General features: G+C 62.0%; 2 protein-coding genes across 2 annotated transcripts, besides 6 other annotated features; both read left to right on the top strand.

The window, feature by feature from the left end:
- Positions 9-268: a silencer, noted in NCBI's record as "silent region_20591". NCBI's record gives its function as "represses an Ori minimal core promoter by ATAC-STARR-seq in GM12878 lymphoblastoid cells {active_cell/tissue: GM12878}" and the evidence as "EXISTENCE:reporter gene assay evidence [ECO:0000049][PMID:35858748]".
- TMEM203 (transmembrane protein 203) lies at positions 24-1,590 on the top strand. The gene has a single exon (NM_053045.2). It carries the CDS (start codon positions 258-260, stop codon positions 666-668), a length of 411 nt encoding a protein of 136 aa, NP_444273.1. The 5' UTR covers positions 24-257; the 3' UTR covers positions 669-1,590.
- Positions 3,943-4,471: an enhancer, noted in NCBI's record as "H3K27ac-H3K4me1 hESC enhancer chr9:140095653-140096181 (GRCh37/hg19 assembly coordinates)". NCBI's record gives its function as "activates a minimal SCP1, AML or CMV promoter by ChIP-STARR-seq in naive H9 embryonic stem cells {active_cell/tissue: H9 hESC(naive)}" and the evidence as "EXISTENCE:reporter gene assay evidence [ECO:0000049][PMID:30033119]".
- Positions 4,700-5,169: a silencer, noted in NCBI's record as "silent region_20590". NCBI's record gives its function as "represses an Ori minimal core promoter by ATAC-STARR-seq in GM12878 lymphoblastoid cells {active_cell/tissue: GM12878}" and the evidence as "EXISTENCE:reporter gene assay evidence [ECO:0000049][PMID:35858748]".
- Positions 4,931-14,053, top strand: TPRN (taperin). The gene is made up of 4 exons (NM_001128228.3): positions 4,931-6,685; positions 12,981-13,221; positions 13,307-13,413; positions 13,498-14,053. Exons 1-4 carry the CDS (start codon positions 4,961-4,963, stop codon positions 13,558-13,560), a joined length of 2,136 nt encoding a protein of 711 aa, NP_001121700.2. The 5' UTR covers positions 4,931-4,960; the 3' UTR covers positions 13,561-14,053.
- Positions 5,260-5,329: a silencer, noted in NCBI's record as "silent region_20589". NCBI's record gives its function as "represses an Ori minimal core promoter by ATAC-STARR-seq in GM12878 lymphoblastoid cells {active_cell/tissue: GM12878}" and the evidence as "EXISTENCE:reporter gene assay evidence [ECO:0000049][PMID:35858748]".
- Positions 10,030-10,907: an enhancer, noted in NCBI's record as "H3K27ac-H3K4me1 hESC enhancer chr9:140089217-140090094 (GRCh37/hg19 assembly coordinates)". NCBI's record gives its function as "activates a minimal SCP1, AML or CMV promoter by ChIP-STARR-seq in naive H9 embryonic stem cells {active_cell/tissue: H9 hESC(naive)}" and the evidence as "EXISTENCE:reporter gene assay evidence [ECO:0000049][PMID:30033119]".
- Positions 10,908-11,786: an enhancer, noted in NCBI's record as "H3K27ac-H3K4me1 hESC enhancer chr9:140088338-140089216 (GRCh37/hg19 assembly coordinates)". NCBI's record gives its function as "activates a minimal SCP1, AML or CMV promoter by ChIP-STARR-seq in naive H9 embryonic stem cells {active_cell/tissue: H9 hESC(naive)}" and the evidence as "EXISTENCE:reporter gene assay evidence [ECO:0000049][PMID:30033119]".

Raw genomic sequence — 14,880 nt, 5'->3', positions numbered from 1 at the left:
GTGACGCACTAGGGACGCGCCCTGTGGGGGCATGGCGTCCGATCGAGGCGGGCGTTCACGGGCGGCCAGGGTTGAGTCCCGGGTCGGGGCCGGGGGATTGCCGGCGCATCAGGGCCGAGGGCTGGGGCTGGCGGGGCCGCTCGCTGCCTCTCGCTCGCAGCAGCGGCGGCAGGCGCGGGCGAGGGCCACGGGGAGAGGAGACGCAGCCCCGCGGGTGGCACGCTCGGCCGGGCCCCGGCCCGCGCTCAACGGGCGCGATGCTCTTCTCGCTCCGGGAGCTGGTGCAGTGGCTAGGCTTCGCCACCTTCGAGATCTTCGTGCACCTGCTGGCCCTGTTGGTGTTCTCTGTGCTGCTGGCACTGCGTGTGGATGGCCTGGTCCCGGGCCTCTCCTGGTGGAACGTGTTCGTGCCTTTCTTCGCCGCTGACGGGCTCAGCACCTACTTCACCACCATCGTGTCCGTGCGCCTCTTCCAGGATGGAGAGAAGCGGCTGGCGGTGCTCCGCCTTTTCTGGGTACTTACGGTCCTGAGTCTCAAGTTCGTCTTCGAGATGCTGTTGTGCCAGAAGCTGGCGGAGCAGACTCGGGAGCTCTGGTTCGGCCTCATTACGTCCCCGCTCTTCATTCTCCTGCAGCTGCTCATGATCCGCGCCTGTCGGGTCAACTAGCCTCACCGAGGTGCCGGAGAGGGAGCGCTGGACAACTAGAATGTTGACCTCGAGCCGAGGCCCTACTTGCAGCGCACCGGAGGAGAGGCTCTCTAGTCTGAAGGCACCGCCGGCTTGCGCCGAGCTGAGTGCCGGGTTTCCCTATTCCAATCCTGTTTGAAATGGTTTCTTCAGCAGGGCTTAAAAGAGCAGCCTTCATCCTGAAAATGTATTTCCTTTTGTTTAATGCTTTGAGTAGATAATCCTGAATTGAGGTCATGAGGAGGCCCCCCAGGCCAGACAGTCCTGAACCCCTCTGACACTTGGAAACTGAATATAAGTAAAATGTCCAGGTGGACTCTGAGTATTTCCTGTGGATCCTGGGAAAGTACTGTTGCACAAAGGCTGCAAAGCTGGACTCAGGAATGTCCTCCAACCAGCAGCGCTGACCTAAGAGCTCCCTGTGCCGTCTATCCAGACCAGACTTCGGTAGATGCCTTTGTTAGATCTATCACATGTAAACGAGCTTGTATCTCCTTCCCTGTGCCACGAGAGAGATTGGCTTTTTATTCCAGTCTAGGCAGAGACAGAAGAATGTTGAATAAGAGCACGATTAGAGTCCTGTCTGGTTATCTGTTGCCCAAGAAAAGAACTCTGCTGTCCAGGCACTGCTTGGCTTACTATCCCAGCAAAGACTGCAGTTTTGTGGACTTTTGACCACCTTGGGCTGGCACTCTTAGCACACCTGAGACAGATTTAAGCCTCCCTAAGAGACTGAAGAGAGGAACAGGTGTCAGATACTCATAGGCACTGAGATCTACAAATGGGAAGCTTGTGAGTGGCCCATCTTTGTTGGCCTACGAACTTTGGTTTGATGCCAGTCAGGTGCCACATGAGAACCTTTGCTGAGATGCAAATAAAGTAAGAGAATGTTTTCCTGAAATGAATAGTGGTTGCCTGTAACCCTCAAGGGTTAAATAGGATGAATATTGAGATACTCTCTGCTACGTGGTGTAGCTGGTTACAGAGCTGCGGTTTTAAATGGATTGAAACCTGTGGCTAGAGCTTAGTGGATGGTGGTGGTGGGAATCACTTGTTCTGGAGAATCCCTCCTTCCTGCTCTAGGAGGTGGGTAACTCAGGCACCCCCCCCCCCACCCTGTATGAAGACAACAATCTGGGCTCATGTTAAAGACCCATTGAATAGTTTGTGACCCCAGAGCCCATGACTTCTTGCCAGAGTGTGGTCTTTGTGGGCCTTGTTGGCACTCTGTAGAGCAGGGATCAGCAAACAATGTCCTAAGGCCTGTTTTTGTATGACCCTTGAGCTGAGGATGGTTTTTACACCCCTAAATGATTAAAAGCAAAAGCAGGCCAGGCGTGGTGGCTCACGCCTGTAATCCCAGCACTTTGGGAGGCCGAGGTGGGTGGATCACAAGATCAGGAGATCGAAACTATCCTGGCTAACACGGTGAAACCCTGTCTCTACTAAAAATACAAAAATTAGCCGGGCGTGGTGGCGGGTGCCTATAGTCCCAGCTACTTGGGAGGCTGAGGCAGGAGAATGGCGTGAACCCGGGAGGCGGAGCTTGCAGTGAGCCGAGACAACGCCACTGCACTCCAGCCTGGCCAACAGAGCGAGACTCTGTCTCAGAAAAAAACAAACAAACAAAAAAAAAAACAAAAGCAGAACTTGTGACAGAGAGTGGATATGACCCTCAGAGTCCAAGGTCTCTTAATTGGCACTCTTGGCCTTTGGGGCCAGAAGATTCTCTAGTGAGGATGCAGTCTGTTTCGCAGTGCTCCTGCCTCTCCTGGGTAGATGCCAGTAGCAGCCTTCACTTGTGACAAGCAGATGTTTATCCAGACATTGCTAAGGGCCCTGGGGAACAAAATTGTCCCTGGCAAAAACCAGTGGGCTAAAATATTTCCTGTCTGGGGCCAGATGCGGTGGCTCACGCTTGTAATCCCAGCACTTTGGGAGGCGGAGGCGGGCAGATCACGAGGTCAGGAGTTTGAGACCAGCCTGACCAACGTGGTGAAACCCCGTCTCTACTAAAAATACTAAAATTAGCTGGGCATGGTGGCGCATGCCTGTAATCCCAGCTACTCAGGAGGCTGAGGCAGGAGAATTGCTTGAACCTGGGAGGCAGAGATTGCAGTCAGCCGAGATAGCACCACTGCACTCCAGCGTGGGCGACAGAGCGAGACTCTGTCTCAAAAAAAAAAAAAAAAAAAAATTTCCTATCTGGCTCGTTACAGAACAGGTGTGCTGACCTCTGCTCTCATGCATCAGCCTGGCCAGCGGAGTGCGGTGTCAGCCTCTGCCTGGCGTGTATGCTTAGTTGTGTAAACCATGGAGGGGCTTGCGTTGGAGGCAGCTTATCTGGTTTGTTGCTACGACACTGTGTCCAGCCTGGGATTGGCATAACTTTTGTCAAAGCCAGATTCAAGCTGAACAGTGGGAGTGAGTTTCCTCGTAATGTTATTTATTTCTAGATTTTGTGTTTTGTGTGTTCCCCTGTTTTATTTTGGTAGTTCAGAATTGGGCAACCCTACTAGGGTAGAAGTGATGAACATCAGATGCTTCCTTTAGAAAGGTGATTTGAGGAGGGCCCTAAGGGAGGAGACACTTGGCTTCTGGAAAGCTGAAATGAAAGTTTATTCTGGCCAGGCCCAGTGGCTCACGCCTGTAATCCCAGCAGTTTGGGAGGCCAAGGCAGGCAGATCATGAGGCCAGGAGTTCGAGACCAGCCTGGCCAACATGGCGAAATCCCGTCTCTACTAAAAATACAAAAATTAGCCGGGCGTTGTGGTGGGCACCTGTAACCCCAGCTACTTGGGAGGCGAAGGCAGGAGAATCGCTTGAATCCTGGAGGCGGAGGTTGTAGTGAGCCGAGATCGTGCCACTGCACTCCAGCCTGGGTGACAAGAGCAAGACTCTATCTCAAAAAAAAAAGAAAAAGAAAAAGTTTATTTTCTCCAGCTTAATGGAGTGGCAGGAGAATAAGGCAAGCATTAAGCTAGCGGCTGCTGCAGACTGTCATGGGGCACAGAAGCTGAGAAGGGCATCCCCAAGTTAAAAAAAAAAAATCTGTTCTGCATCATTGCAGAGACCCAGGCGACCTTGGTGTGGGAAACAGCAGTGTCTACTGAGCAGGCTGCTGACTGCAGGGCAGGTGATGGAAAGAAGGTGATGTCCGTGCACTCCAATTCCCCTTCTCCCCGTGACTCCAAGCGATCTCCCTATTGTCTGCAGGCTTGAAAGGCTGTGGAAGCACTCTGAAGCCCTCCCTGGGGCAGAAGGGACTTGTCAGCCGGGAGGCTGTGCCCTCAGGGTCATGGTATCCGGAGCCTTGATGAGGGGACGTTCAACCGATGGGAGAGGAGTAACCTTAACGTGGCAGCAGGGTGGAATAATCAGACACAGGGGTCGGCCCTATGGGGCCCACCGTTACCCTGGCTTTTTTTTTTTTTTTTTGGCTCTGAATGCATTGGAGAGCTCTCCAAGCATGCAGGGCCCTGCCCTGGTGAACCTGCTTGCGTGTGGCGGGAGAGGCTGCTTCCTTTGTGCCTGCTCCTGCAGATGCTTTTTGGGGACCACGGATGGCAAGGTTGGGTTAAGAGGCTCCCACCTGGGCAGCCTATAAAAACTAGGGATTTCTGAGAAACTGGTTCGTTGGGGCTGCTCGGGGCTCCAGAATTGGCATTTCCAAGCCCCGCAGGCACCTGCCGGAGGTCGGAGGACCCCTGGTGAAAGCAGGGTCCGGGCCAGAGTGTGGCCTGTGCACCGTCCACGGACACGGGTGCCTTCGGTCCTGGAGCAGCGCCCTTCCTGCACCGCGCTCTCAGCGGACGGAACAGGCGGCCTCGGTGCTGGCAGCATGAGGAAGTCCCAAGCTCAGCCAAGGTCACTCGGGGCGCAGGGTCCAGGGGCCGCGCACCCGGCTACCCCCAGGGACGCCGGGAGCTGAGAGCGCAGAGGCGGAAGTGGGGTCTGCCAGTGAGCGGCGCGAGGCACCGGGGTGTGTCCGGGGGGCCGTCCCCAATGGAGGCCAGCTCCGGTGATAGGCGTTGTCCAATGAAGTCCCTTGGGAGGCGGGGTTGAGGCGAGTGTTGTCCAATCGGTAGGGTCACTTGAGGGGCCCGCCCTCCTCCCCTGCCATAGGTGGGCCTCCCGCACGGGGCGGGGAGAGCGGGCTTTCCCCAATGGTCGGTGGCCCGGGAGGGGGCGTGGCCGCGGCGCCCAGGCTGGCCGCGGCGGCGGCTGCCACTCCGGCCCTCAGTCCAGCCGTCCGCTGCCGCGTTCGCAGCATGGCCGCCCTGGGGCGGCCGGGCTCGGGGCCGCGCGCTGCGGTGCCCGCTTGGAAGCGTGAGATCCTGGAGCGGAAGCGGGCCAAGCTAGCCGCGCTGGGCGGGGGCGCGGGGCCCGGGGCGGCGGAGCCCGAGCAGCGGGTGCTGGCCGAGAGCCTGGGCCCGCTGCGCGAGAACCCGTTCATGCTGCTGGAGGCCGAGCGGCGGCGCGGCGGGGGCGCGGCGGGGGCGCGGCTGCTGGAGCGGTACCGCCGCGTGCCTGGCGTGCGCGCCCTCCGCGCCGACAGCGTCCTCATCATCGAGACGGTGCCCGGCTTCCCGCCCGCGCCGCCCGCCCCGGGGGCCGCGCAGATCCGCGCCGCCGAGGTGCTGGTGTACGGGGCGCCGCCCGGCCGCGTCAGCCGCCTACTGGAGAGGTTCGACCCGCCCGCCGCGCCGCGCCGCCGCGGGAGCCCCGAGCGCGCCCGCCCCCCGCCGCCGCCGCCGCCGCCCGCGCCGCCCCGGCCCCCGCCCGCGGCCCCCAGCCCGCCCGCCGCGCCCGGGCCCCGCGGTGGCGGGGCGAGCCCCGGGGCCCGGCGCAGCGACTTCCTCCAGAAGACCGGCAGCAACTCCTTCACCGTCCACCCCCGGGGTCTGCACCGCGGCGCGGGCGCCCGCCTGCTCTCCAACGGGCACTCGGCCCCTGAGCCCCGGGCCGGCCCTGCCAACCGCCTCGCGGGCTCCCCGCCTGGGTCGGGACAGTGGAAGCCAAAGGTGGAGTCGGGGGATCCCTCCCTCCACCCGCCCCCCAGCCCCGGGACCCCGAGTGCCACTCCAGCCTCACCCCCTGCCAGTGCCACTCCTAGCCAGCGCCAGTGCGTCTCCGCAGCCACCAGCACCAACGACTCCTTCGAGATACGGCCGGCCCCCAAGCCAGTTATGGAGACCATCCCCTTGGGGGACCTCCAGGCCCGGGCGCTGGCCAGCCTCCGCGCAAACTCTCGAAATTCTTTCATGGTCATCCCCAAGAGCAAGGCCTCCGGGGCTCCTCCTCCTGAGGGGAGGCAGTCCGTGGAGCTGCCAAAGGGAGACCTGGGCCCGGCCTCCCCGAGCCAGGAGCTCGGATCCCAGCCGGTGCCTGGAGGGGATGGTGCGCCTGCCCTCGGGAAGAGCCCCCTGGAGGTCGAGGCACAGTGGGCAGTCGAGGAGGGGGCCTGTCCCAGGACAGCCACCGCCCTCGCTGACCGGGCTATTAGGTGGCAGAGGCCGTCCTCACCGCCCCCCTTCCTGCCGGCTGCTTCGGAAGAAGCTGAGCCTGCTGAGGGCCTCAGGGTTCCTGGCTTGGCCAAGAATAGCCGGGAATATGTGAGGCCGGGGCTGCCTGTCACCTTCATCGATGAGGTAGACTCGGAGGAGGCCCCCCAAGCAGCCAAACTACCCTACCTCCCGCACCCTGCCAGGCCTCTGCACCCTGCCAGGCCCGGGTGCGTGGCAGAGCTTCAGCCCCGGGGCAGCAACACCTTCACAGTGGTGCCCAAGAGGAAGCCAGGGACTCTGCAGGACCAGCACTTCAGTCAGGCCAACAGGGAGCCTCGGCCACGGGAGGCCGAGGAGGAGGAGGCTAGTTGCCTCCTGGGGCCCACGTTGAAGAAGCGCTACCCCACCGTGCATGAGATCGAGGTGATTGGCGGCTACCTGGCCCTGCAGAAGTCCTGCCTCACCAAGGCTGGCTCCTCAAGAAAGAAGGTCAGTGGTGGGGGCAGGGCCACTGGCTGGCAGGGAGAGAGTGACAGCTCACAGAACTGTGGGGGCAGCACCTGCCCTGATCCCAGGACGCTTGGCCTGGGCAAAGGATGGTTTCTACATGGACTTGAGGCGAGCTGGGGCTGGGTGGGCCGTGCTGGGTCCAGGGCCCCAGTGGAGCCCCCTGACTTGGGCCGTGGGGACAGCTGGCCTGCTGTGTGCCTTGCCAGGCTGCTGGAGAGCGACAGGGCAGACAGTGCTATGTCCCTTGCCAGTTGTTGTGGCTCATCTGGAATTAGCTGGGCGGGTCTGTCCCTTTGTGAGTCCAGCTGAAAGAAGCAGACCTGGGCTTGTGGGTTCCTCCCTGGGCTTGGCTTTGAGGGGTGGCCTCACATGGTCTCCTGGAGGCCCGCTGCATGGGCGCCAGGCGCCACGCTATGAATGGGAAGGGCCAGATGATCGGGGTTGGCTGGATCCTCGCATCACAGTCAGCCTTGGGGTGCAGCCCACCAGCCAGTTGGGAGAGGGCCATCAGCTCCCCAGAAGGCACACTGGTTGGGAGCTGGGCAGGAGTGCCGTGTATGCCTGTTCTGGGCCTGGGAAGCTTGCTGGGGAGAAGGGGCCTTCGGAGGCTCTGAGCCAGCCAGGCAGGGGAGTCTCCCTCTTGGCCAGTGGCCTGGAATCCTCTGGGCACAGGAAAAAAAATCTTCAGATTCTTTCTGGTAATTCCTGCACCTGTATTTGTTCCCTGGGGCAAATTCCAAGGGCAGCTCCATGTGACTTCCCGGTCTGCGGTGACCTGTCAGGAAGCAGGTGTACCTTTCCTGGGGACTGAGGGGGGGCGCCTGGGGCGCCTCCCTTGGGTCTTCCTATCCAGGCACTGCCCCAGAGCCATTGCTGGCTAGGCTCACCCCTGAGGCGGGCTGTCCTCCAGCCTCAGTTTCCCCAGGCTGGGGATGGGACCTTGCAGGCTCCCTCAGCAGATAGGCTGCTGCCTCCCTCTGTTTGCTTCCTGCCCGGGATTGGCCTTGGCATTGCGCCTCTCCCTGTGCCATACTCCCCTCCTGGAACCAGGGCGTTGGTGCCCCTGCCGGCTCTATCTGCCGGCCCAGGCATCCGTGCTAACCCTCCTGAGGTGCTTCCAGTGGGGGCTTGGGGCTGGGTCCAGGGCCCCTCCCACTCCTGGAGCCACGTGGGTCTATCTCCCCGACCCTCGCCCGAGCATCACCCCAGCCCATCAAGGTGGGGTCAGTCTGATAGCCACAGCCTCTCTCCTCCAGCTCCTGTCTGCCTCTCCCTCCCCTGCGTCTGTACCTTTGGCCCTGGCTGCTGTGTGAGGTGGGCACCTCCTGGGCTTGCCCCAGAGGTGGCAGTGGGGACAGCTCCCCCTTTGTAGAGAGAAACTGCGCCTCAGCTTGGGAGTCAGACGGGGTCATGGGGCTTGTGGGGCGAGTACGGAGTTCAGGTTTCTGTTTCTAGAACCCCTCCCCTTAACCTGTGTGGCCATCCCTGGGAGCCTGGCTTCTTCCTGGGACTTGAGGCCACTGCCTAGAGTCTGGCCATCTTGCCCTCAGAAGGGACAGAACTGGGCTGGGCGCGGTGGCTCACACCTTGTAATCCCAGCACTTTGGGAGGCCGAGGCGGGTGGATCACGAGGTCAGGAGTTCAAGACAAGCCTTGCCAAGGTGGTGAAACCCCGTCTCTACTAAGAAGATATAAAAAAATTAGCTGGGCGTGGTGGCGGGCGCCTATAATCCCAGCTATTCAGGAGACTGAGGCAGGAGAATTGCTTGAACCCGGGAGGCGGAGCTTGCAGTGAGCCGAGATCGCGCCATTGCACTCCAGCCTGGGCGACAGAGTGAGACTCTGTCTCAAAAAGAAAAAAGCAAAGAAGGGACAGAACTGTGGGGGTCATTTGCGGCTGGGTTAGGGTCAGAAGGGCAGGGTGGGGGCCGGAGGGCCAACAGGAGCAGGAAGATGCAGTGGGGGAGAGGCTGAGCCTGGGAAACAGGCCCTGGACCAGCAGGAGGGAGGAGCTCGGGCCAGCCTGAAGGGGTGGGGGTCCAGATGGACGATACCTGGCATGGCCAGGTGGCCCGGGCAGGGCCCTGCCAGAGCAGCATGACCTGCTGGCTGTGACTTCCCGCCTGGGTACAGGCCAGCTGCCCTGCCTGGGAAGAGCCAGAATGTCCATCAGGAGGGGACAGAGGCGTGGGGCTGCCCTGCCTTTCAGAATGGCTTGCTGGCCTCGGCACGGTGGGCTGTGGGGCAGGGCTGTCCCATGTACTCTGTGGCCCCTGGGCCAGGAGCACTCACTGGTGGGGGTGCGAGGTGCCCCTGCGGGTCCTGTGCCTGGCCTTGTCTGACCACCCTGGCCAGCCTTTTTTTATTTTTTGTTTTTTGAGACAGAGTCTTGCTCTGTCGCCCAGGCTGGAGGGTAGTGGCAGGATCCCGGCTCAGGGCAAACTTCATCTCCCAGGGTTCAAGCGATTCTCCTGCCTCAGCCTCTCAAGTAGCTGGGATTACAGGCGCCTGCCACCATGCCCAGCTAATTATCGTATTTTTAGTAGAGACGAGGTTTTACCATATTGGCCAGGTTGGTCTCGAACTCCTGACCTCAGATGATCCGCCTGCCTTAGCCTCCCAAAGTGCTGGGATTACAGGCGTGAGCCACCGTGCTGACCCCAGCCTTTGGTTGGGACCACTGGCTGTGACCCCCGGGCGTGGGGGTGGAGTGCAGGGATTGCAGGGCCCGGAGTCTAGCAGGACCTGACTGTGGGCCAACGGCTCACTGTGCACCTCAGCGGCTGGCGGTGCTGCTGCTTTTCCTGGGGTACAGGTGAAGGGCAGCTCTTCAGTGGAGTTGTCTGGGTGGTGGGAGTCGGTGAGGGGCCTGCCCCAGGGCTGGCTGTGCCTGCACAGGGTATGATACCCTTGCCCGCCTCCGAGGGGTGCAGCCCTGCTCTGGGCAGTGGGGAGCTGCTGGCCTGTGTGCCGGGGTGGGGGCCTGCCTGGCAGGCACAGGCCCACTTAAGTTATCCATTGGCAGAAGCGGCAGGTGCCCCGTCTTGCAGGGCTGAGCTTGGAGCAGACTGCTGTGTGCTGCAGCCACGCCCGGGCTGCTTTCCTGGAGGGTGGGACACCCATTCTCATCCTCACACCTGCCTCCCTTGAGACTCGGCGCTGTAGCTTTTCCTCTTCGTGGAGCACCACCTGGCCTGGCTCCTACCTGTCTGGCGGCCCCTTCCCGTCCCCTCTGCCCTACTCCCCTCCTCCCCTCTTGGCTCTCTGCCCAGCTGGAGCGTGTCAGTGTCCCCAGGGCTCAGTCCTGGACACCCAGGGCCGTCCGCCCTCACCTGCTGTGCAACTTCCGCCTCCACTCCCAAGGCCTCGCTCTCTGATCCTTAGACCCAAGAGCCACCCTGACATCTGCCCTTCCTACTGACACCACCTCCTGGCCAGCACCAAGCCCCAGGCTGGGCTCCTCCCTGCCTCTACCCCTGTGCAGGCAGATCCTGGGTGGCCAGAGGCTCTCACTGTTGTTGGCTGAGTCCCTTCTTGTCAGTTTTCCTTTCCTTCTCGTCTCTCCGCCAGCTCTTCCCATAGGTGCCGCCTAGGTGGTCCTTCTGAAGCCGGGAACCCCAGGAGCGGCCTGGACGCTCCTCCCTCAGCTTTCTCATGGGTGGAGGCCGTGCCTGGCGCTGGGGCCACACTTGACTCAGGGAGCACCCAGCTTCCCGGGAGCCTGCTCTGGGCATTGCACTCGTGCAGCCTGGTCTAGGGTCCGGCCACCCGTGGGAGCCTTGGCTGGGGCTGCGTGGGGGATGGGAGGCAGGTAGCTGTGTGCAGGGAGGAGGGAGAGGCGGGGCTGGGCTCAGCTCACACCTCCATCTGGGCAGGTTGGGGCTGGCTGCTTGGCCCTTTGTCCCAGGTGGAGGCCAGGCCCTTTGGTAACCAAAGCTAGGTGTGCACAGGCAGGGTGGGTGGAGCGAGAACAGAAGGGTCCTGAGAAGCCGGGAGGCTCTGCTGGGAGGCTGGGCTGAGCTGGGACCCACCTGCCTGCTCTGTTGGCTGTGCCAGGCAAAGTCCCTGATAGGCTGCGGCCAGGTGCGTGCGGTCCCAGACCCTGGCCACACCCTCTGCCCATCCTGCGTCTCGGGGTCTTCAGGCTGCCCACCGTATGAGTCACGGGGTGTCCTGTCCCCACAGTGGGAGGGGAGGGCTGTGCGAGTCAGCAGGCACCAGCCCAGCTGAGGAGACCTGGGGAGGCAGGACGTGACCAGAGCCCCGGGCCCCAGCTGAGGGCAGACAGGGGCTGCCTGTCCACCCCCCGCCCCGCACCGCCTGGCCAGGCTGTACCAGGCTCAGGGCCCATGTGCACCCAGCCCCCGCGGCCCCCCTGCTGGGACCGGTCATGTGCACGAGTGAGGGCACTAATCCCGCGGCCCTGGCAGCCAGCCCTTCTGTGTTCTCAGCCGTGGGGGCTGGGCCTGGAGGGCTTCGGGGTCATCTGGGTTAGCTCCACATATCCAGGGCGACTGGAAACCCCATTTGCTGCTGGACTTCGGGGCTGTGGGAGAGCTCTAGCCACCAGCCCTGTCCTGCCTTGAGCACCTCCACCTGGGGTATCTGTCCCAAAGCATGAGTCTGGGAGGGCCGGGTGACCCCCTCCCCAAGTGGGCTGGCAGTGGGTGGGTGCCTGTGAGGTCTGTCCCAGCCTCTCCCTGCCTGGCCTCCTGTGGGATGAGCGTTGGAGGGCCAGGTGGGCCTAGCCACAGGCAGGGCAGTTAAGGGACAGGAGCGGGTGCTTTCCTCCTTGTTTTGTCTGGCCCAGGTGGCCTCCCCCTCCCCCGCTCATCCATGCAGACGGCTGGGGTGCCGGGGCCTGGGGTAGGGGTGCAAGCAGGCAGCTGAGTTGCCCAGCAGGGCTCTGTGTGAGCTGTGCTGAGAGGGGAAGCTGGGGGTTTGGGCACAAAGCGTGGCCCCCCAGCTGTGGGAGGCGGGGGTATTCGTGGTGAGAAGGGACCTGAGGGTACACCTGGCTGTGTGGGCCGTGTGGCCGCTGTGGGAGAGAGCATGATGGCAAGAGTGTGTGCCCTTGGCCCTGTCCTGGCAGCCCTGTGTGGCCTCCTCGGCTGCCTCCTGAGAGGCCGTCTCGTCCTGTGCCTGGCTGCGGTGGTTCTCTGCCTGGGGCCCGGCTCCTGCCTCCGGGTCCTTCTAGGGGAGGAGGAGGAACTTGAGCTGCTGGTGTCCTGTGCCCAGGAAGAGTTTAATATTTCGAGCTCCCTCAGGGCTGCTTCCATCTGCTGCAAGCGGGGGCCGCTCATATTCATTAGGGACCACTGGGGCCGGGCTGAGTGCAGCTGAGCAGTGGGAGCTCGGCTGTTGTGGGGAGCTTAGCCCCATGCAAGCCCCGTTCAGGGGAGGTGGAGAGTCCTGACCATTGGTCCCCACTGCCCCCATTACCCCTGGGAACCAGCAGCCCTGCCTGGGCTTCAAGGCCACTGGGAGAAGGAAAGAATTTGCTCAGATGTGAAATCTTGCAGCCTACGAAGTGGGGATGGAGGACGAGGGCCAGAGGGGCAGCAGGGTGAGGAAGGGGTCACTGCTGGGGTTGCTGGCACCCAGGCTCAGTGGAGGCAGCCCCCTACTCTGCACAGCCGCAGGCCAACTCTCAACTATGTTAGGTGGGTGATGGTGCCTGAGGCTACTGCCTGGCCTTGACGGCTCACAGAGGCCCCTGTTCACAGTGGGGGGTCCATGCTCTGCTGGATTGTCCAGGCATCCAGTAAGCCAGGACATGAACTTGGCTTTAGAGAGAGGCCCCAGACACCAGCAGGAGCTGCCTGGAGCCTAGAGTGCAAGGCCCCTGAGGGGACAGCCTCTTTTCCACCCTGTTCCTGCTCTAGAGCTGCTTGGTGGGAGGGGATGTGTCCACCCCAGTTTCCCCCCAGCTGGCACTCTGCCCAGACAGCAGAGCAGGAGGGGCCTGAGATGGTAGCTCCAGGAGCTGGTCTAGAGGCTTCTGGGGACCCAGAGGCTTTGGGCTCCTGGTCCTGGTCAGCGTTTGGTCCCTGGCTGGAATGGGGAGGGGAGGTTGACCCCCAGGGTGGAGGGATGGACGCCTGCAGGGTCCAGCTGGAGAGCTCTGTGCCCCCTCCTGGAGCCCCCGGAACGGTTGATGGTGTGTCTGGCGCCCCACTTGGGTCAGCCTCATCCTGAGGGCTGAACCTGAGCCCCTGGCATCACTGTGCCCATGTGGGCCCTCAGCCCTCGTTCACGTGACTCTCACTCCCAGATGAAGATCTCCTTCAACGACAAAAGCCTGCAGACCACATTTGAGTACCCTTCCGAGAGCTCCCTAGAGCAGGAGGAAGAGGTGGACCAGCAGGAGGAGGAGGAGGAGGAGGAGGAGGAAGAGGAAGAGGAGGAAGAGGGATCCGGCTCAGAGGAGAAGCCCTTTGCACTCTTCCTGCCCCGGGCCACGTTTGTGAGCAGCGTGAGACCCGAGAGCTCTCGGCTGCCAGAGGGTAGCTCAGGTGAGTGCCCACCTGGGGGACAGGCAGCCTGGGAGGGGTGGAGCCTGGTCTGTGTCCACGTCTGCATGTGCACCTCCATTCACAGGCCTGTCCAGCTACACCCCGAAGCACTCTGTGGCCTTCAGCAAGTGGCAGGAGCAGGCGCTGGAGCAGGCCCCGAGGGAGGCAGAGCCCCCGCCCGTGGAGGCCATGGTGAGATGCGGGGGAGTGGAGCGCTGGGGGGAGTCTGACACCCGGGCGAGCCCATGTGTCCACATTCTGTCCTCTCACTTTCAGCTCACACCCGCCAGTCAGAATGACCTCTCGGACTTCCGCAGCGAGCCAGCCCTGTATTTCTGAGCCCAGCACTGCCAGGACCAAGGCTGAGCCCAGCTGTGGGAGTCCCGGAAGCTGGGCAGTAGCCAGGGACTACTGCACCCGCTTCTGCCTTGTTTGGCCTCACTGTATCCCACCCACCCCTCCTGGCCCTGGAAGCAGCTAGGGTGCCTCCTGCCATCGGGGCCAGGTCTGGGTCTCACTCCCCGGCCCTGATTTGGGAGGGTCCAAGGGGGAAGTGGGGTGGGGAACTGCCTGTGGGTGAGTGCCAGGGGCCTGCTGGGTGGTGGCCATCTGCGACCCGGCAGGGGGCTGTGCAGATTCTGCACCTGGCCATTCCCTGTCCTGTCTCCTCAGCCTGCCTCACAGTGGCCATGGGGTGTCGGGGTGAAGGGCTGTCCCAGCTACTTGTCCTCTGCAGGACCCTAAGCCCCTGCCCGCAGCCCACATGCCCTCTGTGATGAGTGGCGTCTTTCCTGCCTCTGATGATGGACTCAATAAACAGCACTGGACAAGGCTGCTGGTGTCCCCACTGCGTGGTCCTTGGCTGAGAAGGGAGCAGGGGGAGGTCTCTGCAGGAAGAGGCCACATGGGGTCCAGTGGGCCCCAGTTTGCACGTCTATGCCAGGGTGTGTGGGAGGTGACCCCGATCTGGTACCCCCACTCCTTGATGTCCCAGTGGCCAAGGCTCTGACCTCCCAACTTCCATGGCCTGTTAACCTGTTGCCCCTCCACCCCAGCCTCCCAGAGCTGGCACTGTGGGAGGTAGGATGACAGGCCTGCTGTCAGGGGCCTAGACTTCAGGTGGGAGGGTGAGAGTGTTGCAGCTGTTGGGCCTGAAGTGGCTTCTCTGAGGGGCCCAGAGCCTGGGGAGGGACCAAGGGAAGGGCAGCATGAGGGCAGCACAGGGGACGGTGTCTTCTGCTGGGCTTGGCGTGCCCCCCGACCCACAGGATGAGGCAGGCCGGGAGCAGCGCCTGCCTCAGACGGCCAGAGCTGGGGCTGTTTACAGCCCATGGAACCCAAGCACCATTTCCTCCCTGGAGGATCAAACCTAAGAGCAAAGAGATAAAGAGATGCTGTCTGGCCAAACTCCGGCGGAAGGAGAGTTTGGTGTATTTCCCTGGTCGGGTTAGGCCCAGCTCTTTTCTGGACCCTCTGGATCAACACATGCCTCCCAAATCGGCCCAGTCCTCGGGCCATGCTTGGTTGCTGCAGGGACAAAACAGAGGCCCCAGGGCACATGGAAGGATGGAAGTGGCCAGTGCTTGGTGTGCGGCCAGGGAAAGGTGGGCAGCAGGGCCTGGTGGCAGCAGTGGTGTCATCAGGCCAAGCAAAACTTGC

The sequence above is a fragment of the Homo sapiens genome, chromosome 9 (assembly GCF_000001405.40).
Source record: "Homo sapiens chromosome 9, GRCh38.p14 Primary Assembly".
Lineage (NCBI taxonomy): Eukaryota > Metazoa > Chordata > Mammalia > Primates > Hominidae > Homo > Homo sapiens.
The sequence above is the reverse complement of the archived record's forward strand: the minus strand, read 5'-3'. Positions and strand labels throughout refer to the sequence as shown.